Source organism: Homo sapiens, chromosome 20 (assembly GCF_000001405.40).
Source record: "Homo sapiens chromosome 20, GRCh38.p14 Primary Assembly".
Taxonomy (NCBI): Eukaryota; Metazoa; Chordata; class Mammalia; order Primates; family Hominidae; genus Homo; species Homo sapiens.
This window is the reverse complement of record NC_000020.11, coordinates 12,892,260-12,916,473: the sequence shown is the minus strand read 5'-3', so window position 1 is coordinate 12,916,473 and position 24,214 is coordinate 12,892,260. Positions and strand designations below refer to the sequence as shown.

The window sequence follows — 24,214 nt, the reverse complement described above, 5'->3', positions numbered from 1 at the left end:
CTCAGGTCTGTTTCTGGAGTAATCCACCAATGGCCAATAATATCAATTTCCCATTGTCAGCTCCTGATAATTGTGGATGTATTATCTCATTTAACAGTTGTACCTGAAATCCAGCAGCTTGTTCTTACAACGATTATGTCCTACAGCCAATGGACCACACAGAAGAGAGTTGAGGATCAAGAGAGGTCTTAGTTTATTTTGGTAGATGTGTGTGTGTGTGTGTGTGTGTGTGTGTGTGTGTGTGTGTATAGCTAGTTCTTTTTCTAAAATTAAATCATTATTTAGTTAGCATTTTTGGGTGCAGCAGCTTTTCCTGATACTGATGTATCTATACTGATATTCTGGAGTTTAGTGTAGTTCCAAAGAAATAGATCTCAAATGTGCTAAAGAAATGAAAATTGTATGCTTCCTTAAGGACAATTATCAGTTTCTTATCATATTCATTAATCAGGAGGAGCTGTGATGAAATGCAGTCTACTTTATTTTCCGTTCTCTCCATTGTTCTTTCTCCTCCTTGCTTCCTCTCCCTTTCTTTTGTCACTCTGCATTCCTTCCCACCCCCCAAACCTTGGTCTTTCTCTGGACCTCTCCCACCCGTCACAAACTCTTTAAAAACAAGACAAGGCCAGGCGCAGTGGCTCACGCCTGTAATCCCAGCACTTGGGGAGGCCAAGGCTGGGTGGTTCACTTGAGGTCAGGAGTTCGAGATGAACCTGGCCAACATGGTGAAACCCTGTTTCTACTAAAAAAGTACAAAAATTAGCCCAGCATGGTGGTGCATGCCTGTAAGCTCAGCTACTTAGGAGGCTGAGGCAGGAGAATAGTTTGAACCCAGGAGGTGGAGGTTGCAGTGAGCCGAGATCACGCCATTGCACTCCAGCCTGGGCGACAAGAGTGAGACTCCATCTCAAAACAAAACAAAACAAAAACAAAAACCAAGACAAGCTCTAGATGGCTCCTCTAGACATCTGTCTCAGGATAAACACATTTTGCATAACAACATACCTCCTGATATCTTAACCTCACACTAAATTATTTTAAAAGACATTGTCTTCTGAGAAAAAATTCAACTACTACTAATTGGAATATTCTTTAGAAGTTGTTGAGTATTCTTGGAATCACAATTATAGCTGTGAATAAGTCATGGGGTAATTTAAAAGGATTCAGAATCAATTTTCTAATGGAGAATAGTTACATCATGGTTTGATCAAGAATCAAATGGAGAGAAATTTCTTTTAAAATTACTAGTATTCGTTTTTTGTTTGAAAATTACAGTGGAAGATTCTGCCCACCTTATGAAAGAATAAAAGCTGGTTTGTAATCATTAAGTAGCTTGCAAATCTTTTCAACTACCAACGATCTGCCATGAAACATGTTTACTTTGCTTCAGGAAGAGGAAGTAACAAGGCATTCTTCCATCCCTGAGCTGAAGTGGTTTTATCAGTAACAGTGACACCGAACGAGGGCTTGTCTTTGAAATTGGAGTGCCAGAAAGAGATGTTGAATATTCTTTGTATTTTCCACTGGTGATCCTGGCTGGTATTTTAGAAATTCAGGCGATAACAAAATGGAATGGGACTGAGAAATGAAAGAAGGGAGATTCTGTTGCTGTTGTTGTTGCTATTGCAATGCTTTTTTCTGGGGTTGCAAGATCAGAGGAGGTGGTTCATAGACAGTAACAATTTTTAAATCAACTCTAGTAGGAACCCGGAATTTCCAGAGCTCTAAAATTCTCTCCTTGAGAATTAAGGCATAGTGTTTTACGGAGGTGAGAGTATCTTCAAGTCTTTCAGTGTGTAAAGGAGTTTGCCACAAAAACATAGGATGCATGAGTAAAACATAGTTTATTTTGTTGTTAGAGCCTATCTTAACATTTCATGGCCTGAATTTATTTTTTAGTAAAACAAGTCTTACCCTTTGATCAGGTCCAGCATGTTTTCATACCTTTCTCTACAATCTGCTGAATACAGAAGGCACTTTGATGAGGAAGGAATCTATAGTAGCTACAGTGAGAAGCCTACTTCCCACACTCTGGAGATTTTCCAGTTGGTGCTACCTTAAGGTTCCTTTGGTCTTAGAGGGTTAATGCTAATGAACTAGTGAAAATGAGTGTCTCTAATGGCCTAGTAAGTTATATACTTTTTTTTGCAGGGGGTGTAGTCCGATTTGTACTAAGGCCTTTAATCTCTTTGTGTTCATAGTTTGGGAATGTTTGCCCATCGATCAAGCATACATAACAAACATTTCTTTCTCCTAGAGGAAACAAAAGAAAATGAATGAATGCTGCTGAAAAAGTGATAACTTTAGGTTTAAAAGAGTGTTATTGATTTGCTCTGTGCTATTTGAATTATTCATAACAAAAAGGAGAGAGTAGAGGTGCTTAGGGACACAGCATCTATTGAAAAGTCATAATGTTAAAAGTAGGGAAGAATTGAGAGTTAGAGATAAAGGAATTTTCTATTCTCTGATCTTTAATTCAGATATCCCCCTGTAGTCTTTGACAGCTGAATGAGTGCTGGGGAAATGAAGAATTAGCATGTGTATGACTCTATTGCTTGGACAGGCATGTTTAAGACTATCAATTAAGTGTCAAGCTTCAGATGAGGTGTTTTTGTTGAGTTTTTAACTCTTGACTACTTTGCCCACCTTTCCTAATTCCTGAAATAATGTAGGGGTGAGGAGAAATTTTTTTCCTTCTCTTTCTTCAGGCTTGACAAATTGAGTCTACAAAACAAACTGACAGATTAACAATAGACAGATTAATAGGAAAAAGTGGAACACAAATATATTAAAGTGCATATTGACACAGGGGCCAGACACGAAGTATGAGATTCAAAGAAAAGCCAGATGGCTGAGTTTGGAGGTTACATTGGAAGGTTACAGCAAGAGTAGAGACTTATTGTTTCTTGGGAGGGAGGTGGGATGAGAGTAAGGGAGGAAGCCATGGCTGCTTTGCTATGGAGATGACAAATCTCAGAGCTGCCCTCAGAAAGAATAGATGGGAGCCTGTGGTAGAAGTTTCTCTGGCAGACCCTTAAATGTTTCAGACTTTTAGTCTCTTTTTTTCTGTGAGCTAATCATTCCTAGGTTGGGACAAGGAGACAAGGAGGGCCTCAGGGAAAACCTGTTTGTATCTGCTGTTCACTTCGTTAGTGCAGATTCCCTTTCCAGATGCAAAACTCCGCCCCAAAAAGACAGCATTTCAAGATATTTCTGTGGTTTGCAGCCCTTCTGAGTATCCATCTTGAAATATGCTAAAAAAGTATATTTGGGGGTGAAATATTCCAGTTTCCTTCCATAGGCTTGCCTTCCTTTTGATTTGTTCCTATGTCAATCTCAGTCTACCTCTTTAGTCTTTCTTGATCTGTGTTTCAAACACTCAGTGACTATATCTCTTTACATCTATCTCTACGTACACATTTGAAGACAAATTTTAAGTCTGCCAATACTAAGTTTTTGTGAGAATGTAGAGCAACAGGAAGTTGTATATATTCCTGATGGGAATATACATTTTTGTAAGAAGCCAGGAAAACAATTTGGTAATATTTCTGTAAGACAGAAAATGTTCATTCAATCCCAGCTACTCGGGAGGCTGAGACAGGAGAATCGCTTGAACCCAGGAGGCGGAGGTTGCAGTGAGTCGAGATTCCACCATTGCACTTCAGCCTAGGCAACAAGAGCAAAACTCTGTTTCAAAAAAGAAAAAAAAAAAAAAAAAAGAGAATGTTCATTCTACAACTAATAATTCCCCAAAATGTTTTCCTTATTGGTAAATTGGAGTTAATAATTGTATCTACTTCATAGAAATCTTAGGATTAAATGAGTTAATAACTTTAAAACAAATAGGCTAATAAAAGTTAGCCTTGTTATCACTAGTAGTAGTTGTTGTAGTAACTGTAATAGTATCTTTATTACCCTTTTTAACTGTGTACCATAGAAAACTTGCACATAGCCCCTGGAAGGCCTGAATGAGAATTCTCGTAACATTACTGTTTACAATAGCAAAAAATAAATAAATAAATAAAGGAAAAAGGAAAAAGAAAACAACTTACTCATTTAAGAGGGAATAAACTGTTGGTATATTCAGATAACGTCATATAATAGAATACTGTATAGGAGTTACACATATCATGAGGGATAAACCTCAAAACGATATTATTGATTAAACATTTTTTGGGGGAGGAAATAAATTATTATACCAGTTAGACTAAAATAAGCAAACAAACTGTATATACTTTTAAATGGATAATTACAAATGTTTTAGAAAAATATATGGAAACAATAATCCCCAAATTAAATATTATTGATACCTCTTGGGATAGATGGGTCTGTAATCAGAGATGGAGATTTCAATCGGATTGTTGTTTTATTACTTAAGTTGGGTGTTCACTGTACTGTTCTTTGTATATTTTGTTATATCCTAAATGTTTCCCCCTTAAATAAATGATCAAACAGCAACAGAAAAGACTAAATAGCATACTGGTGAATCAGATATTTGCTTAAGTATTTGCTGTGAATAATAGTTATTTGTTAGCTTAAGAAAATTAAAAATTGAATATTAGAAGTGTACATACATATAAGTCTGAATAGAGCTTGGTTGAAAGCAAACCGAACACACTGTGGAAATTCATCCATCAAGCATTTACTGGTAGATACCCATAAAGTTAAGGAAGGCAGGATAGTTGACCTGAAAACTAACAGAGTGATCGACTTAGCCAATTAAAGTGAGCTGAATTGCTCTGTCTACACTGAGTTAACAAACAACAACAGCAAAAACAAAACAAAACAAAACAAAAACCAGACAAACAATAAGAAACGTTTTGTTGTTCTGTGGCCCTAGGGCAAGTCTTATCTACTTATGTCTGAACGACTTTTACACTACTCTCTGGTTGCCTTTTATAATTTCCAGGTCAGCATTTTCTCTCATACTTACATTTCTAGGGGGTGGTATACCATTTGAAGCACATATCAGAGTCCACTCATTTTTTCAAACAGATATTTATTAAGAGTCTATTAAGATTCCAAACGTTGCGAGACATTGACCCAATCTTTGTAAACTGAGTGTTTGGAAAACACTGAAGATTAACTGTCCAAATGAGAGAGATACGACCTAAATGGGCCAGAAAGATGGGGAGGGAGGATGCTCTGAGCAACCTCTGGCATGTTTTTAAAATATCCCCCAAAGCCCAGGCCCTTTTACATTATGCTAGGATTATCAATAATTATTACTAAAAATATTTTTAAAATCACATTTTCAGTAAGAAAGGGTGAGAGACAGTTCTAAGATTAATTTATCTTTCTACTTAATCTTGGGGCCGATTTTTAAATCCATTTTAAAGTCTTACTGTGGCTTCACTGTTCCAGCTCATAGTCCAGAAGTGTTAACATAAAACCACGTTGCATGTTGAAAAAGCATTTCAAAGGAGCGAACCTCTTCCACCAGCACCGAGGGTATTGTCACATGACACCGAGTGAGGTTTCTGAAGTGGAAATTTGCCTTGGGAAAATCTTTGCAGTTTGAGGGATTTCTGTAGACACAGTACATGGTGGTTTGTTTGTTTTCTCCAACTGCCTTATCTGCAGCTTCCATCCTTGGCACAGCATCATTGTCCTTTTATTTGTATTTACCCACAGAGTTTATACTACTAGTAATAGTTATTATCATTGTATTTGTTGTTATAGAGAAGATTAAATTGAGTATTGCCACTTGGCAGTCTCTGTTCAAAGCAATTTAAGTTCTTCCAGCTCAATCAGTCTAAGACCACCAGGGACAAGCTCCTAGTCCCACTAAGTTGGGTTGCTGATTCATTGCAATGAGGGAGAGCACACATCAGAGGAAGTGTGGGGCATCTTACCAAATAAAGGAACCAATGCAGTTATTACAGGATTTTGGAGAAAGGTGGAGTTTTAGGCAAGATTAAACTAAAGTAGTATTCTGATGGGCTCAAAGCAAAGCAGTGCCATATTTAATGGATCAACATTATATCTGGACACAAAGTAGACCCAGGGTTGGTCCTGTTAAGGTCCTGTTAATTACTTTGAAATACCAAAGTTAAGGTAGATGTAAAATATTGCAGCCAGAAACCTCTTATTTGAAGGTTTGCACATGAGTTGTTAACTCTGGGCTGCTTTTTTTTTTTTTTTTTTTAATGTTAAAATAGCTGAAATCTTCCAGGTAAGAGGGGGATGTTTTTATGGGAAACCTCCAAGAACAGAGACCAGTAGGCTCACACGGCCAGCAAGGAAATGGGACCCTAGTCCTACAACTGCAAGGAACTGAATTTGGGCAACAACCTGAATGATCTTGGAAACATTCTTCCCCAGAGCCTCCAGAAAAGAATGCAGCCTGGCCAATACTCTGATTTTACCATTATGAGACCCTTAGCAGAAGAGCCAAGGGAGCCCACCCAGACTTCTGACCTACAGAAACTGTGGGATAATAAATGTGTGTTTAAAAAAACTGAAGCCCAAACCAAGCAACCAAGCAATCCAAGAGAGAGATGTTTCATGCATACTGATGTGATTTCAACATCACATTTCTGATAGTCTATGACTTTGAAGAACAAAGTTTCTCACTAAATAAGAAAGCAGATGTCACCCAACGAAGAGGGTTTTATGACACTTTACAAGAGTGGTGTGTCCTTGCAAGAAATATCATTAGCTGTTAACTTTGCAGCTGTTTTCATCTTTTGTCTGTTATCCAAGCCTGATGAATGGCCAGACATTTTTACTTTCTCAGTCCAAGCTAATGTTTACTTTCTCAAAGTATTAACTTATTTAATCTTCAAAACAATACTTTGGAATAGGTGATATTATCATTCCCCTTTTTATAGATGAAGAAACTGAAGCATCAGGAGTGATAAGTTGCTTAAGGGGCAAGAGGGAGGTCGTAAGGAGTGGTACCAGGCTTCAACTCAGGCCATCTGCTTTCGAAACCAAGTACTTGGGTGGACTACTAATTGAGCCCTTACACACAGGCCAGTAACAGATAGTACCTTAGCAAATGGAAAGAAAATTCCTCTTAGGGAAGAAAAATTATTTACAAACATTTTTCAGGCCAGAATGTGAGATGGGTTAGTCCATGTGATAGCACCAATAAAGAAGATAATTGAACCCTCCATATTAACAATAATGAAAGTCCTAATGCTTGCATGCACTCATACGTGCTAGGGGCTACATATGTGTATTAACTCACTTTAAAAAACATTATATATGTTAACTCACTTTACAAATCACTTGTGAACTAGGGTGGTTCCTATTTCACAGACACGGAAAGTGTGGCCCACAGGTCTAAAGTACCTTGCCCAAGGGCACACGAATTGTAATGGATAGAGCTGGAATCCATACCCCAGAGGCCTGGTTCCAAAGCCTGATATCTTAGCTATTTTGCTATATAGAAATATATGAGAATTAGAGGACACAGGGACAAAAAGAAGGGAAAGAGAAATAGAGGTGATGGGCTGGCTGAGCCTTATTGCAAGAGAATAGAAGGATTTTGAAGCTCAAATGGCAAATATTCATTTCAAAGTTATTTGCATTGCTGTAATATAAACATCCCTCTCTCCCCAAATCGCTATACATATAAAGGTCTTATGTAAATGTGATTCTTTGGTAGCGGAGGTGGCAGTCAGGGGAAAACTATGAGTTTCACTTTTGGTTAAAAAAAAGTTCCAAAATATGTAATGGAAAGTGTATAATTCACACAAGGTTGAAAGTAGAAGCCAGAGGGAAATAGAATTTACAATTCTTTTTGGTTGGGTGAGGATTTGTAACTTTCCAGAACATGCACAGAGATTTGAGTCAATCTCACCAAAGCCTTAAGGAGCTAGAAGACTTTAGTTAACACCCAAGTTGGATTTCCGTTAAGCAATTTCAGAGAGAACACTCTGAGTTGAATTTAATCAAACCAGTAGCAGGTGATATATTATTAACTGTTAATTATTTCTAATTATTTCTAGCATAGTATCAGGTACTTGGTAGTCCTAGAATAAATAAATATTTGTTGAATAAAAATAATGAAGACATTAATGACTGGTTATTTTTAAACCATAATGATTAAGGGACAGAAATAAATTAATTATTTCATTCTGATATGCTTATAGGCAATGAGAAAATTCTTTCCCACCCTCACACTGTTTACATCTTTATCTTCTGGGTTAGAGTATAGACTACAGATGGTTGCTAGTCCCCTCCTGTCTATGACAATAGCACCTGGTGCCTGTGTTGTGACTAAAAGCAACAAGTTGGTGGTACTTGAGTCATCAAGTTCTAGATAACTGAAGTTGATTTGAAGACATAATGCATGTAAAACGGAAAGCACAAAGTCTTTCATGACCTCTCCTAAATTTTTGCATTAACCATTTTCCAAAATGGAAAACTTTTTATAATGTATCATAACTTTTAAGTCCCAGTTTTCTGAACCTATTAAACTCTTTCTTTGTTTTCAGTAATTCATTTTTATGAACTCTCATTGACTGGCCAAATATTTACTGAGCACTCCTTTCTGGGCTGCGATGCAATGGTGGTCTTGAGTGCAAGTAGTTGGCGGCATTCTTGGTTTCAAATAGCAGAATCCACTCTACCAGTTAAATAATAAAATACACTTATGCCAAGATACTAAATAGCTTGTAGCATTATAGAATGTAAGAGAATTAGACATGGAGCCTATGCAGTCCGGAATGATGGCCAAATGACACCAATGGCTGCCCTAAGAGAGACCAAAGTTCTGCCACCATCAGGCACCAACCCTACAGGTTTTACTCTCTGTGGGGTGCTATCTCAGCTACTGTTTCCTCTGAAGCAGGCATTCTCTCTGCCACAATTATTCACCCTCAGCAGAGAATGGGTTCCCCATGGCAACTGCTTTCTCTTCCAAGTCCAAGTTGGGAATGTGTGATGGAATGGGGTTGAGGTCACATGTCCATGCCATAATTACAAGCAAATAAATGATTATAGCTCCTACCTAAGGGTGGCAGACTTAAAAGAGGAGAAATTATCCAAAAAATAGAAAGGCCACGTCAAACAAGCTGGGTAGTCACATACATGGCACATGCCCACTACAGCCATGAAGTCATGTGGGAGGCATCTTTTTGACAAGGAGGGCCCTGCTTTAAAGGATCTTAGCTTGCTGCTTCATTTTACTTGGTCTTTCTTGGTCTTATCTCTTCTTCACTCTTAGTTGTCATTTATTCCCACTACTGGTTAATGGGGGAAAAATACTCTTTATTTTTAATTAGTTATGATGGGTATAATTTATTGAGCTCCTAGTATGTTCTAGGCTCTATGTAAGAAAGTTTTACATATATATATATTTTTTGTTGTTGTTTGTTTATTTTATTTTATTTTATTTTTTTTGAGATGGAGTCTCACCCTGTCGCCCAGGCTGGAGTGCAATGGCACGATCTCGGCTCACTGCAACCTCTGCCTCCCACGTTCAACCGATTCTCCTGTCTCAGCCTCGCGGATAGCTGGGACTACAGGTGCGCGCCTCCCTACCCAGCTAATTTTTTAAACTTTTTGGTGGACACGGGGTTTCATCATGTTGGCCAGGCTGGTCTCGAACTCCTGACCTCGTAATCCGCGTGCCTCGGCCTCCCAGAGTGCTGGGATTACAGGCATGAGCCACTGCGCCGGGCCAGTTTTATATATATTTTAAATTTATTTCTCAAAAAACCCTTATAAGCTCATGACATAAATATTATTCTCCCAGCCTTGAATTTTGTAGGTGAGGAAACTGAAGCTCAGAGCAGTGGAGGTATATGGTTGGGATCTGTACTGAGACACAGAGTGAGTGACAGAGGTGAAATCTGAGCCCAGGCCCCCAGGACTGCTGCCCTAGTACTCTTTTTGCCCATTATGTTAAATCTTTCACTTGCTGGTCAATCAGCCGTGAACTGTTCTCCAGGTTGACTAATTACTTACAGGTAACCATATTGACTTCTTCTGCTAAGAAAGTTAATGAAGTGCCCTGAATTCATTTTACTCACAAGAAATTCAAAAATATGAACAAAGTGATTGCCACACCGTGCACCCCTTTGAGAGAGAAAACAAAACACAACAGCTGCACTGTGTCAGAGTTAATCTTATGTGAGTTCTGCATGAATCAAGTTAGGAATACTGATCTTTCAAGAAATGCAGCCGCCCTGCACTGATTCCTGGGGATTTAAGACTCCATCTCCACATCTGGGGGCTCGTAGTCAGAAGGGGTCTTAACTGATAACTTTGTGGTCTGATTTGATCAGTCTCCTCTAGTATCTCTAACTAGTTCCTGTACTTTGACTCATCCCCCAATTTTCCTGACCTTCTTTGTTTTATCTACTGTATTAGGGTTCTGTAGGGAAACAGAACAAATAGGATGCCTATACAGTCATGTGTCATTTAATGATGTTGCTACATTCTGATAAAGGCATCATTAGGCAGTTTTGTTGTTGTGTGAACACCATAGAGTGCCCTTACACAAACCTACATGGTGCAGCCTACTACACACTTAGGCTATATGGCATAGTCTGTTGCTCCTGGGATACAAACCTGTACGTCCTGTTACTGTACTGAATACTGTAGGCAATTGTAACACAATGCTAAGTGTGTGTATATCTAAACATATCTAATCATCGAGAGAGTTCAGGAAAAGATAAAAAGATATACTACAAAAGATAAAAAATGATGCACCTGGCCGGGCGCAGTGGCTCACGCCTATAATCCCAGCGCTTTGGGAGGCCGAGGCAGGCAGATCACCTGAGGTCAGGAGCTCGAGACCAGCCTGATCAACATGGAGAAACCCTGTCTCTACTGAAAATACAAAATTAGCCAGGCGTGGTGGTGCATGTGCATGCCTGTAATCTCAGCTACTAGGGAGGCTGAGGCAGGAGAATCGCTTGAACCTGGGAGGTAGAGGTTGTGGTGAGCCAAGATTGTGCCATTGCACTCCAGCCTGGGCAACAAGAGTTAAACTCTGTCTCAAAAAAAAAAAAAAAAAAAAATGGTGCACCTGTGTAGGGCACTTACCATGAACGGAGCTTGCAGGACTATAAGTTGCTCTGGATAAGTCAGTGAATAAGTGGTGAGTGTATGAGAAATCCGAAGACATTACTATATGCTATAAACTTTAGGACACATTAAATATGTTAAATTTTTATTCAATAATAAATTAACTTTAACTTACTGTAACTTTTTACTTTTCAAACTTTTAATTTTTTTAACTTTTTGAGTATTTTGTAACATTAGCTTAAAACACAAAGATATTGTACAACTATACACAAATATCTTCTTTATATCCTTATTCAATAAACTTTATTTATTTACTTATTTATTTATTTTTTCTGAGACAGAGTCTTGCTCTGTCACCCAGGCTGGAGTGCAGTGGTGCAATCTTGGCTCACTGTAACTTCTGCCTCCTGGGTTCAAATGATTCTCATGCTTCAGGCTTCTGAGTAACTGGGACTACAGGCGTGCACCACCACGCCCAGCTAATTTTGTATTTTTAGTGGAGACAGACTTTCACCATGTTGACGAGGCTGGTCTTGAACTCCTGACCTCAAGTGATCCACCCATCTCGGCCTCCCAAAGTGAGCTTTAATTGATTAATTAATTATTTATTTATTAGACTCTTTGTTAAAACGACACACATCTGTACATTAACCTAGGCGTACACAGGATCAGAATCACCAATATCACTGTCTTTTACCTCCTCATTTTGTCCTGCTGGAAGGTCTTCAGGGGCAATAATACTCACGGAGTTGTCATTTCTTATGATGATAATGCCTTCTTCTGGAAACTCCTGAAGGACATGCCTGAGGGTGTTTTATAGTTAACTTTTTAAATAATAAATAGAAGGAGTACACTCTAAAATAACAGTACAAGTATAGTTTAATAAATACCTAAACTAATAACAGTCATTTATCATCACAATCAAGTATTATGTACTGTAAATAATTGCATGTGCTAGATTTTTGTATGACTGGCAGCTCAGTATGTTTGTTTACATCAGCATCATCACAAACGAGTAATGCATTATGCTATGATGTTAGAATAGCTCTGATGTTATTAGATGATAGAAATTTTTCAGTTCCATTATAATCTTATGGGACCACTGTTGTAAATGCGGTTTGTCATTGACCAAAACGTCATTAAGTGGCACATGACTATATATATATATATATGATATTGACTTATGCAATTATGGAGCTGGAAAGTTTCACATCTGCTGTCTGATAGCTGGAGGCTCAGGAAAGCTGATGGTCATTCATAGACCTGAGAACCAGAGAGCCAATGATGTAGGTTCCAGTTCCATTCCGAAGGCCCGGGAACCAGAGAGCTAAGGGCAGGGAAAGACCAAGTCCCATCTCAAGCAATCAGGCCGAGAGAGAGTGAGTTCAATCTTCCTCTGCCTTTTTGTTCCATTCAGGCCCTTAATGGAATAGATAAAGCCTACCCACACTGGAGAGGGCAATCTGCTTTACTCAGCCCACCAATTTGAATGCCAGTCTCTTCTGGAAATAACTTCACAGACACAGTGGAAAATAATTCTTAACCTGTTATCTGGGTATCCCATGACTCAGTCAAGTTGACACTCAAAAAATTACCTATCATGTCTACTAATACTAAATAGGGAAGCTGCAACTTGAAGTTTCTTTCCTTTTTCAAACTTAAATGACTCTATAGATTTTTCCATCCACCCGTTTACCTCATGGATAAAGGTTAACACAACGTAGTGTCCAAAATAGAAAGAATGATTATCACTATCTATCATGAACTATCTATGGATCCTCAAATATACCTCTTACCATGGCTTATGCTTTCCCCAGAGATGTTGGTTTTGAGAATATTAAGTCTGACTCCCTGTGAAATTCACATATACACTTAAAATTTAGACTCTTTCTTTCCTAATGGATACTAAATTTGGGAAAGACACATTGCTATTTTTTAAAAATAAGTTTGAAAAAAAAGTGTAAAACTAACTTAAAAAATGTTTTTTCCCTCCACCGAGATTACTTTTGTATATTTGTGCAGAGACACTAAAACTATGTTCCATGGAGTATCCAGGACATGTATGAGGGGTTTTGGGGGTGACAGCAGAAAGGAGCTGGGATACATGCAGACTCGTAAGTCCTCATCTGCTTCCCACGGCCACTCTCCTTGAACTTCTTTGTATTTGGGGCTCTATGTAAACTTTCATTTGAAAAAGGGATTCCACTATTCACAGAGTTTGGAAGCCACTGAGGTATGAAAGTGTTAAGAGAAAGAGATTTGCAAAGAGCTAAAAATAGACTTGCCATTGGATCCAGCAATCTCAATACTGGGCATCGACCCAAAGGAAAAGAAAGCTTTATATAAAGACACCTGCACTCATGATTATCACAGCACTGTTTACAATAGCAAAAATCATGGAATCAAATGTCCATCAATGGATGATTAGGTAAAGAGAATGTGGTACCTATACACCATGACATACTATGTGGCCATAAAAAAGGATGAAATCACGTCTCTTTTCCAGCAACATAGATGAAATTTGAGGCCCTATTTTTCTGAAATAACTCAGAAACAGAAAATCAAATATCACATGTTCTCACTTATAAGTGGGAGCTAAATAACATATACATATGGATGTAGAGAGTGGAATGATAGACACTGGAGACTTGAAAATGTGGGAGGGTGGGAGAGAGATGAGGGATGAGAAATTACCTGTTGAGCACAATACAATGTACATTATTTGGGTAATGGGTACACTAAAAGCTCAGACTTTACCACTATGCAAGGTATCCATGTAGTAAAATTGCCCTTGTACTCCTGACTCCATAAGTTTTTTTTTTGTTTGTTTGTTTTTGTTTTTTTTTTGTTTTTTTGAGAAAGAAAGAGAAAGAGATTTGTTCCTAGTCATTGAAAGGTGGAGGAAGCAGGGTAGGCTGCCCTTTCACCATTGGGTTTCAGTTAGTTTCTTTCTTTTTCTTCTCTAAGGTATGAATTCTTAGCATCCAAAATATCTATATTCATCCCTAAATTCAAAAATGTGCCCAAATCAAGTATATATATCTATATCTTTTTTTTTCTGAGACAGGGTCTCACTCTGTCACCCAGGCTGGAGTGCAGTGGCATGATCTAGGCTCAACTTCTTCCTTCTGGACTCAAGTGATCCTCTCACCTCAGCCTCCCAAGTAGCTGGGACTACAGGTGCGTACTACCACACCCAGCTAATTTTTGTATTATTTTGTAGAGTCAGGGTCTTACTATGTCGTTGCCCAGGCTGGGCTTGAATGACTGGGCTCAAGCGATCGGCCCACCTTGGCCCCCCAAAATGTTGGGATTACGGGTGTGAGCCACTGTGCCCAGCCTCAAGTATATATTGCTTGAACAAATCTGACATTTCGGATTTCCCTCAAGTGATCTTGTCCTTTAAGACAAACACTAAAAAAGTTCATTCTCCTCAAATAATTTGGATGGGGAGTTTTTGCAATAAACTAAGAAGAAATCAGCACCCTGTAGTACATTCCTTAGGTACTTTATTAAGGCTGAGGAGGTATCATATGAGTTGTAGAGATCTTTCTGTAATGTTCTACTTCTCTGAAAGACTTGAATTCACGGTGTGAAAATATAATTTTCACATGGCTTAGGATGTCAGGCTGGTTTCCCAGTTCTTACTCTGCTTTTATTTATTTATTTGCATGTAGCAAAATGTCTTCTGCTTTTTTTTAAAAGGTGAAGGCAGGCCAGGTGTGGTGACCCACACTTGTAAACTCAGGACTTTGGGAGGCCGAGGCAGGAGGAGCATTTGAGCCCAAGAGTTTGAGACCAAACTTGGTAACATACAGAGACCTTGTCTCTATTTAAAAAAAAAAAAAAGAAAAAAAATCTTTTAAAAAGGTCAAGGCATTGCCTTGAAAACTGCTGAGATAAGTCCCAGTGGTCTGATTATAGCTACCCTCAGCTCACTTGCTCAGGGCTGACACAAACATCTCAGCTTTGAGTGAGCACGGTGTTCCCCTCTCTGTGTGTAGATGTGTTTTCGTGTGCGTGGCTATGAATGTGAGGTCAACCAGGTGCTGGAAATGTTTGGTTGACATTATATGGCACATGGCCTGACTTTAACCTGACAACAGCAGGCCTGGCTATATGTGCCACCAATGGCAGGATTCATTTTATTCCTCTTCCGTATTTGGATGCTTGGCACTCTCGCGGTTCGCCCTGCAACAACCAATGGGCTTCTTCTCTGGCTCTTTTTCACGGTGCTGTGGCTGGGCTCTAGAATATAGAGTACCACTGGGTGACCTTGCAATAAAGAACGCAAAGCCCCCAAAATGGCACTGGGCTCATTAGCAGCTATTCTCCTCAGGTCCCCTGCACAGGGCAGACTTCTTAGGAGGAAGAGAAGCAAGATAGGATCAGAATCAGGTCCTGAGTCAGGCCCCAAATTATCGCTGAGTTTCGTTCCTGGCAGAAAAGCCCCACACCTGACCCCAAGCATCAACCTGCAAATTGGCCTTCAGAGTTCTCCTCGGTGGCTCGACAGAGACCAAACACTGCAATGAAGCCTGGGCCAGGCATTCAATTATCCTGTTTCTTTTCCATTGCTCTGGTGGCTCTGGATTGAAGGGAGTCCCTCTGCAGCCACAGAGGGCAGCCCTAGCTTGATTGCTCTGCTCTGAGGGACAAGATGCCAATTGAGTCTTGATTTCTTTTTTTCAAATGAGTTATTTTTAAAGAAGTCTTTAAATGACTTTTATCATTATTGCAAGCTGTGGAAGTAGATCCTTCTTTCTTCACACGTAGGGAGGAGAACAGGGAAGCCCCTTGTAAGGATCAATGGTTTATATTGGGACTTTGAAGTATACATTCATTCAACAAATATTTATTGAGGGCACATTATGGGCCAGTAACTTATCTAGGCCCATCAGGGTATTCATCAGCAAACAAAACAAAGCTCTCTTGCTCCTGGCACCTGCATTTTGGCCATTAGATGTATTAAGACTCACCCAGAAGGAAACAGTGACCATTGTCACAGACTGATTCCCTAGTACTGTGAAATCAGGGCCATGCCTGCCTTGCTCAGGGTCCGGTACACATTCATGTTCACCACAGCACACAGCCAAGCTTGCTGGCATCTCCAACAGCTCACAGTTCCTCAGGGCAGTGCAGATGAAGGTGCCCCATGCCCAGGTATCAGGGGCTTCACCAGGACACCTGCTGCAGCTGACATTTGTCCCTTCTTCCACCCTCTGGCTTTGGTAGGTTGTGGAGGACAGCTTGGTACCGAGTTTCATAGATCTCCTGTTAATTTTTCATCGTCGGAGTTGATGTCTGTCTAAAAACAAAAAACCTAATTTAAAAAAATGGTTCAAGAGGCTAGGCGCGGTGGCTCACTCCTGTAATCCCTGCACTTTGGGAGGCTCAGGCAGGTGGATCACCTGAGGTCTGCAGTTCGAGAGCAGCCTGGCCAACATGGTGAAAACCCGTCTCTACTAAAATACAAAAATTAGCTGGGCATGGTGGCAGGCGCCTGTAATCCCAGCTACACAGGAGGCTGAGGTAGGAGAATTGCTTGAACCCAGGAGGCGGAGGTTATAATGAGCCAAGATCATGCCACTGCACTCCAGCCTGGGTGACAGAGCAAGACATCATTTCAAAAAAAAAAGGACCAAGAATGTGAGCAGACATTTCTCAAAAGAAGCTATACTAATGGTCAACAGCAATATAAAAAAAGTGCTCAATATCACAAATCATCAGGAAAATGCAAATCAGAACCACAATGAGATGCCACTTCATACCTGTTAGGATGACTATTATCAAAAAGCTATAAGATAACAGGTGTTGGTGAAGATGTGCAGAAAAGGCAACCCTTGTACACTATTGGTGGGAATGTCAACTGCTACAGCCATTATGGAAAACAATGTGGAGATTTCTTAAAAAATTAGAGACAAACTGCCATAAGGTCCAGCAATCCCACTTCTGGGTATACATCCATAGGAAAGGAAATCAGTATGTCAAAGCGACATCTATACTCCCATGTCATTGCAGGATTATTCACAATAGCTAAGCAAAGGAATCAGCCTAAGTGTCTATTGATGGATGAATTTATAAATAAAATGTTGCATATGTATACATACACAAGGAAATATTATTCAGCTTTATGAAGAAGGAAATTGTGCTATTTGCAAAAACATGGGTGAAACTGGAGGACATTATGCCAGGTAAAGTAAGCCAGGCCCAGAAAGACAAATACCACATGACCTCATTTATATGTGGAATCTAAAATAGTCAAATTTATAGAAGTAGAGAATAGACTAATGGTTGTCAGGGGCTGGGAGGGAGAGGTAAATGGGATGATGTTGGTCAAAGGGTACAGCATTTCAGTTATTCAAGATGAATATGTTCTGAAGATCAAATGTATAGCGTGGTGACCATAGCAATACTGTATTGTATACTTGAAATTTGCAAAGACTGTAAGTCTTAAGTGTTTTCACCACAAAAAGGAGAAAAAGAAAAGAATATGTTAACTATATGAGGTGATAAATATGATGTGGTTATCATTTCACAATGTGTCCACTTTTCAAAACATCAAGTTGTATATTTTAAGTGTATATTTTTTATTTCTCAATTATACATCAATAAAGCTAACAAAGTTCTATCATCCATCTCTCTCTCTCTCTCTCTATCGATCTATTACCTATCTACCTATCATCTCTCTCCCGTCTTACATGCTCTTCTCATAATGTGACAACCACTCCTCCCACTGAAAGGTGGAACTACATTCCCTCCTCTTGAATCTGGGTAGGGATCGGGGGAGGGCTTGTTACCACCACAGATTATGGTGGAAGTGATGCTATGTGACTTCTGTGGTTTGATTCTCAAAAGTGATATAGCTCTTACTTTCTCTCTCTCTCTTTCTCTGTCCATGAGACTTGGGAGCTCTGAACCACTGTGTGAGAAGTCTGGCTACCTGCAACTCCCATGCTTGTCAGGCCTTGTGGGGGGACTGCATGGAGACAGGGCGAGTTGTTCCAGCCCACACCTGTTTGAGATGACCCCAGTCTCAGTCACCACCTGACTGCGATGTCGTGAGAGACCCTGAGGCAGAACTGCCCAGCTAAGCTGCTCCTAAATTTCTGTCTCACAGAAATCATGAAGTAATCCGTGATTATTGTTTTAAGCCACAGAGTTTTGGGGTGGCTTGTTACGTAGCAATGGATAACTAATACAGAAAGTTTCATAGTCAATAGACATGTAGTCCTTAGAAATTAGTTTACTGCCCATTTTGGTTGAATGTCTGAAATTCAAACATTCAAAAATAATATTTAACTTTTGTTGTAAACTTGGGATATATCCAGCAGGCTCTGTTTTAAGTGCTTTGCATAAATTAACTCATTTAGTTGCTGTAGCAACTCCTCACCTCAATGTGAAATAGGTGTAAAAAGGAAGCACAGAGAAGTGAGGCAACTTGCTTGATGTTGCACAGCTAGTAAATGGGAGATGAGGAGTTAACAAATCACATACAAATATTGCTCCATCAATCTAAAATTACACAGATCACAAAGTAATTTTTTGAACCTTGCTGGGACTTAAATGGAATTTGAACACAAGAAGTACTGTCATTTGGGAAGGAGAAATTGATATCAATGTTCTTCATTTTGGTGAAATTTAAATGAAAATAAAAGTAAAATTATGCAGGAATTTAGACCAGAATCTTGTGCGTATACATCTGTCTCTCTAAAGTATAAGAATAGCCCATTATTCTTGACCCTTTTGGCCACTGGCATGGGAGCCACCTGAAGGCAGAGACTGTGCCTTGTTCATTATGTTTTATTTGTTTCTAGGACATAATAAGTTCCCAGAATGTAGTTGTGCACTAAATAAATAGATGTGAGTTTTCAGATAAAAGAGATTACACTAGTACCTCCTTCTTCATGGTTTTATTTTCTATGATTTTAGTTATGTGCAGTACAGTACAATAAGATATTTTGAAAGAGATCGTGGAGACCACATTCACGTAACTTTTATTACAGTATATTGTTACAATTGTTTTATTTTATTATTAGTTATTGTTGTTAATCTCTTGCTCTGCCTAATTTATGAATTAAAGTTTATTATAGGTATGTATGTGTAGGAAAAAATTATATGATCTTTAGGGTCCAATATTATTCACGGTTTCTGGCATCCATTGGGGATCTTAGAACGTATACTCCCAAGATAAGGAAAGAACTTTAAATATTATATAGCTTTGTATTCCACTACTTGACTGTGTCTGGGGTATAGCAAGTGCTCAAAATGTTTGCTAAATGAATTGGTTCAGCAGATTACAGGTTTTAGCTACAGTCCTAAGAAGTAGCAATTTTATGGAAAGTAGTTAGCTTATGTCTCTCCAAAATGAACATATTTCTTTTAAAGCAGCTTTAGAAGCCAAATGCCCTTGCTTTCTGGAGGGAATAGAAATGTTTTCATTCTATACCTAATGAAGAATAAGATTTTTTAAACTTTTTTTCTCTTTCAAAGCTGATACATTCACCTACAACACTGGTCTATGTTATTTGGAATTGAAATTAAGCTTAGAGCTGTACCTCCATTTCTTCGGCCTCTATTTCATGTTGAAAGAAAATAATTAGATTCCTAGTTTTAAACTCCCAGGTTACTGGAGGCTGGGTATGATGAGGAAGCAACCATGCAGGCCATTGGAGGAAATACGCTTACTTAATTTCATGACCATAACAGTTGGCCGTGATAGGTTTGCTGGCACTGGATCACCCCAATATGATGTTCTTCTATAGTCATAAGGCCATGGAGTAATCACATTGTCCAATCACTTGACAATTGAAGAAAATGGAGACTACAGAGAGGTGAAGTTGCTTGCCAAAGTTTACTGTTACTAGCTGAACTAGAAATCAGGTCTCTAGAATCTAAGTGTCATTTGCATTATTTCAACATATTTCATTGTTGTCCATAAACTAATGAATGAGTCTTGTACAGGTTTCTTGATGATAACAGCTGTGCTTCTCTCCCCTATTATTTTTTTCTGATACCAAGGATCAAGCCCTACATATCATGAGCTCAGTCTATCATGGGTCTACCCAAAACAACAGAAAAAGGGGTTCCCATCACCTCCACTCATTGCGTAATAGAAAGGGAAGATCTCCTGGGCACCTGCATTTCTGCTCGTTAAATAATTCACCCAAGATTTAAATGACCAAAATCCCATGTTCAGTCAATCCTCATAGAAAAATCATGTGGCCTCACCTAGATATTGTCCTTCCTGAGGGAGGGGCTGACACTGGCAGAGAAAGGGCAGAATGGATGCCTTGGAGTCTTCCATTTGAGAAACACTGAAAGCCGATGTTTATTCCAGTCTGCTCGGTATTAAGTCTGATTATGTGTCTTCTACTCTTGGGGCACAGTTCCCATTCTGTTTTTCCAAAAGTGTACCTTCTCCCTTCACTCCTTCCATAATTCTCTGTCTGATAAGGTTTTTTGATCACAAAGTTGGTTACAGGAATTAACTTTGGGTAACTTAAGAGAACGTGGTTCATTGGGAAGCTCACAGAACGTAAGACAGGTGGAGACTGAGAGAAACCAGGTGGGAGCAGCTTGGTCAGGAGGCTGCCACAGGACTGAGCACTCTTTTGTTTAAGGCCACTTGTCTGTCTATTTGGGTTTTATGTTCCATGCTATGGCTGTCTGGTGGTTCTTGCTTGAGTCATTTGACTCAAGTGAGTGATTCCAGCTAAGGAGAGCAGGGCTCTGGTCATATTCCAACTTAGAGTTCCCTGAGAAGAAGACCATGAGACAAGGATTCAAGCACAAGTAGTATATTTGGAAGATGATCCCAGGAGGCACCTGGAGGGCACTGGGAAACTGAGACAGGGAAGAGAAGGCAGCTGGTAACCAGGCTAACCAACCCCGCTGCCACTGGGCACCTGGAGCTTAATCCCATTGGGGAACTTGGAGAGCTTGTGTAGAACCCACACTGCAAAGTTATTCCACCCAAGGGCAAGGGAGCTGGGATTTGTATTCACCAGCTCCCATCAGTCATTGTTTGATAGCCCTTGGGAGGAGGTGGTGACAGTCACTCTACAAGCACTTCTGGCATGCCACAGGCACGAGTGGTCTCAGAAAGCAAAGCAGAGGCTGGTAGCTGGAAGCCAAATGGTCTTATAGTAACATAGTATCTTAGTTTCTTATCAGTTTCTATCATTTTCCTATTAATGTTCTAATTATCACAAATGCAGTGGCTTAAGACAAAAATTTCATTTACAGTCTGTAGGTCAGAAGTCTAAAATCAAAATGCTGAAGGGCTGAATTCCACCTAGAGGCTCTAGGGGAGAATCTATTGCCTTGCCTTTTCCAGCTTCTAGAAGTCACCTAGATTCCTTGGCTCATGGCCTCTTAGCATCTCCTCCCTCTGGCTCTGTACACCTCTTCTTCCATCATGACACAGCCTTCTCCTCTTCTGACTCTTACCCCTCTTGCCTCCTTATGAATACTCTTGTGATGATATTGGGTCCACCCAGATAACCCAGAGGAATCTTCTGTTCTCAAGATGCTTGACTTTACCACATCTTCAAAGTCTCTACCTGTGTAAAGCAACATAGTCACAGGTTCCAGGGATTAGGATGTGGTCATCTTTGAAGGACTGCTGTTCCTCCTTCTACACGTGGTAAGGCCTGAGGCTGGCTGGCTTTTCCCCTGGACAGGAGGAGGCCACTGTGTATAATCTTGCTGACCATTCAAGAAATAACACATTTCTTTTACAGAAAAACATTTTCTTCTTTTGTCATAGAGTAAGTTGTCCTCCCTATTCTCTCTACTTGGTTTAAAAACAAAGGCAGATGAAGAAAAATAAAAGACTTTGAATCTTTGATCCCAGATATGAAATGATTAGTGACCCAGTCCTGAGTGCCTTTGGGATTTCCGCTAATGATTTCACAAGGTTCCCATTGATTCCCCCTCAACTGAGAGAACTTCAAATACTCACACCCTCTTCTCCTTATCCAGGTCACTTCCCACTGAGAGCTGGTTTACACCCATTTCAAACACCATCTCCAAACTGATACCTTGACTACGAGATCAAGTGTCCAGAATGTAACAGAAGCTGCCTAATATTTGGTAGAAGAAGAAAGGGAAGAGGAGAATTCAGATGCTAATGGAGAGTATGTATGCGCGCATGCACACGTGCGTGTACTCACATTCAGGTCCTCTGACATCAGAGTAAAACCCTGTGCATAAACCCAGAGGCGAGGCTGGCCTGGAGCCTTTAAACAGAAGTGAGGGTATGGTCCTTTATTCTGGATCAACTCTTGGCAGATGTAATGAATCACCTCTGGTGCTTTTCCCATGTTGCTGATATGCAGAGTGCTGAGGGTGGGAAGTGGGGGCCAAGGAGTCCGAGCCCCTGACCCATCCCACACTTTGGTGTAGACCTCGCTCCCAGCCTGAGGTATGAGCAGAGCCGGCTTGGAGGAAAATTCTGACACTGCCTTGGCATGATGGGCCTTTCCCTGAAGGGCTGTTTCAGCTGCAAGGCAAAACTGTTATTCCGGGTTACTCTGGGAACAAATTATAAGAATCATTTCCCCAAATGCCCTCTCTGATAGAGTTCCCACACAGTCAGAGGAAATGAAATCTCCCTTAATCAATTCCACTGGTTTGGTGTCAAGCTCCTAAGCCCCTCTGAGGCTCCAATACCGCCTGCCTCCTCGTTCTCTGCACACATTACCATAAATCACTTTCCATATCTGACCCGGGCAATCCTGTTCATACTTAGGGAGCTAAATGAAACATGCCCGAACTGTGTGTGTTGGTTTATAAATATAATTCCAAATACCAAATTTTGGCTAATAATAGTTTCTTCTAAATATAACATTCTAGGCAAGGGACAAACCCTAACTCTCTGACCTCCCTCCACCCCCCAAAAAAACACACCACTGTTACTGTTTTTGTGTGGTCCTGGTCCTAAGCTATTACATAGACAAGCCTTCTGAGGAATAACTGATTGAAACTATAAGATATCTTTCCAGCCACATTTTCCAAGCGAAGTTCACTTTTATTTTATTTTATTTTGTATTACCAGAGTTCCCATGATAGTTCATGAATGTCAGAGAGGCCCCAGACTTTCAAGTTTGCTTTACTCATTTAATGGAAAACTGAAAAGGAGATGAAGATTTAAGTCATTTTCCCAAAGCCACACAGCGGGCTGAGTGTAGAGCCTGGGTGTTAACCAAGAATCCCTCTGGTGATTTTTCAAGAAACACCTGGCCTGGCAAGGAAGACGCTGCATCACAATGTGAGGGTGGTTTTTTTCTTCTCAGTCTTTGAGAGGTGTGAGAGTGTAAGAGGGGCCTGTGTGCGGTCTCTGGGACCACTACCCCCCTCAGTCAGACGCTCCTGAGACCCCTAAAGGCTGTTTCCAATCTCTGTGGGGTGTGGCCAGAGAGAATGCATCCACCCTCAACTTCACCACTTACGGCATTTGTAAAAATTTAAGTGCATCTGAAGGCTCTCCAGCTTGAAACCCTGCAGAGCGGGATGAAGCTCCCTGAGGGCTGTGGAAGCTGCAGCGTCATTTTGATACACAGCGGTTCTTGGAAAAAATACTGCAGCCTCAGCCGGTGGCCGCAGACTGCTGCTTCTTAAATGACTCCCCTCTGCCTTAGGGTTAATGTGTGAGTCCTTAAGGTGGCTCAGGAGGCTCAGAAGGCACCTGTGCAGTTCAGCTTCCTAACTCCTACCACACCGGAGCTGTTTAGTCTCTGTCGGTCTTGTCTCCTCCTGTACAAGCTCTGGGAAGGAAGGGACCATGGTTTTCTTATTTACATCTTTGTCCCCAGAGCTCAGCAGAGTTCCTGACACCTGGCAGGTGAGCAATTGTTGATTGTTGGAAGAGTGAATGAGATCAAATTACTTCTTCAGTTGACTGGAATGTGGACAAATGTCTCAAGTCAGGAGAACTTGAGGAAGCTCAGGTCACTTGCCAGGGTCAGACCATAATTTTGTGGGAAGGGAGCTTGACCCTGGAGGCCTTTGCTATGCTTACTTTGTGTTCACAAGGAGAAAATGGTTTGACATGAGCAAAAGGAACATTGAGACTGGAATTTCTGGTTGATTTATATAAGTATGTGCAGAAGAAATGACCATCACAGTCTTTCCCCTTGTAGGTGGGCAAAAATTGGCCTTAGTTTCTACTCATTTCTTGGAACAGAATTACATCTCATCTCCTTGGCTGTTTAAGCTGGGGATG

The 24,214-nt window shown here is 40.2% G+C and overlaps 1 long non-coding RNA gene across 1 annotated transcript in view; it reads left to right on the top strand.

Moving 5' to 3' along the window:
• Nucleotides 1-24,214, top strand: part of LINC01722 (long intergenic non-protein coding RNA 1722) — an 87,316-nt gene that overhangs the window by 36,046 nt on the left and 27,056 nt on the right. Inside the window, exons 7-10 of the long non-coding RNA NR_109868.1 lie at nt 9,358-9,479; nt 14,054-14,166; nt 21,973-22,127; nt 23,048-23,833. This is a non-coding gene — a long non-coding RNA (long intergenic non-protein coding RNA 1722). The remainder of the gene's footprint in view (nt 1-9,357; nt 9,480-14,053; nt 14,167-21,972; nt 22,128-23,047; nt 23,834-24,214) is intronic.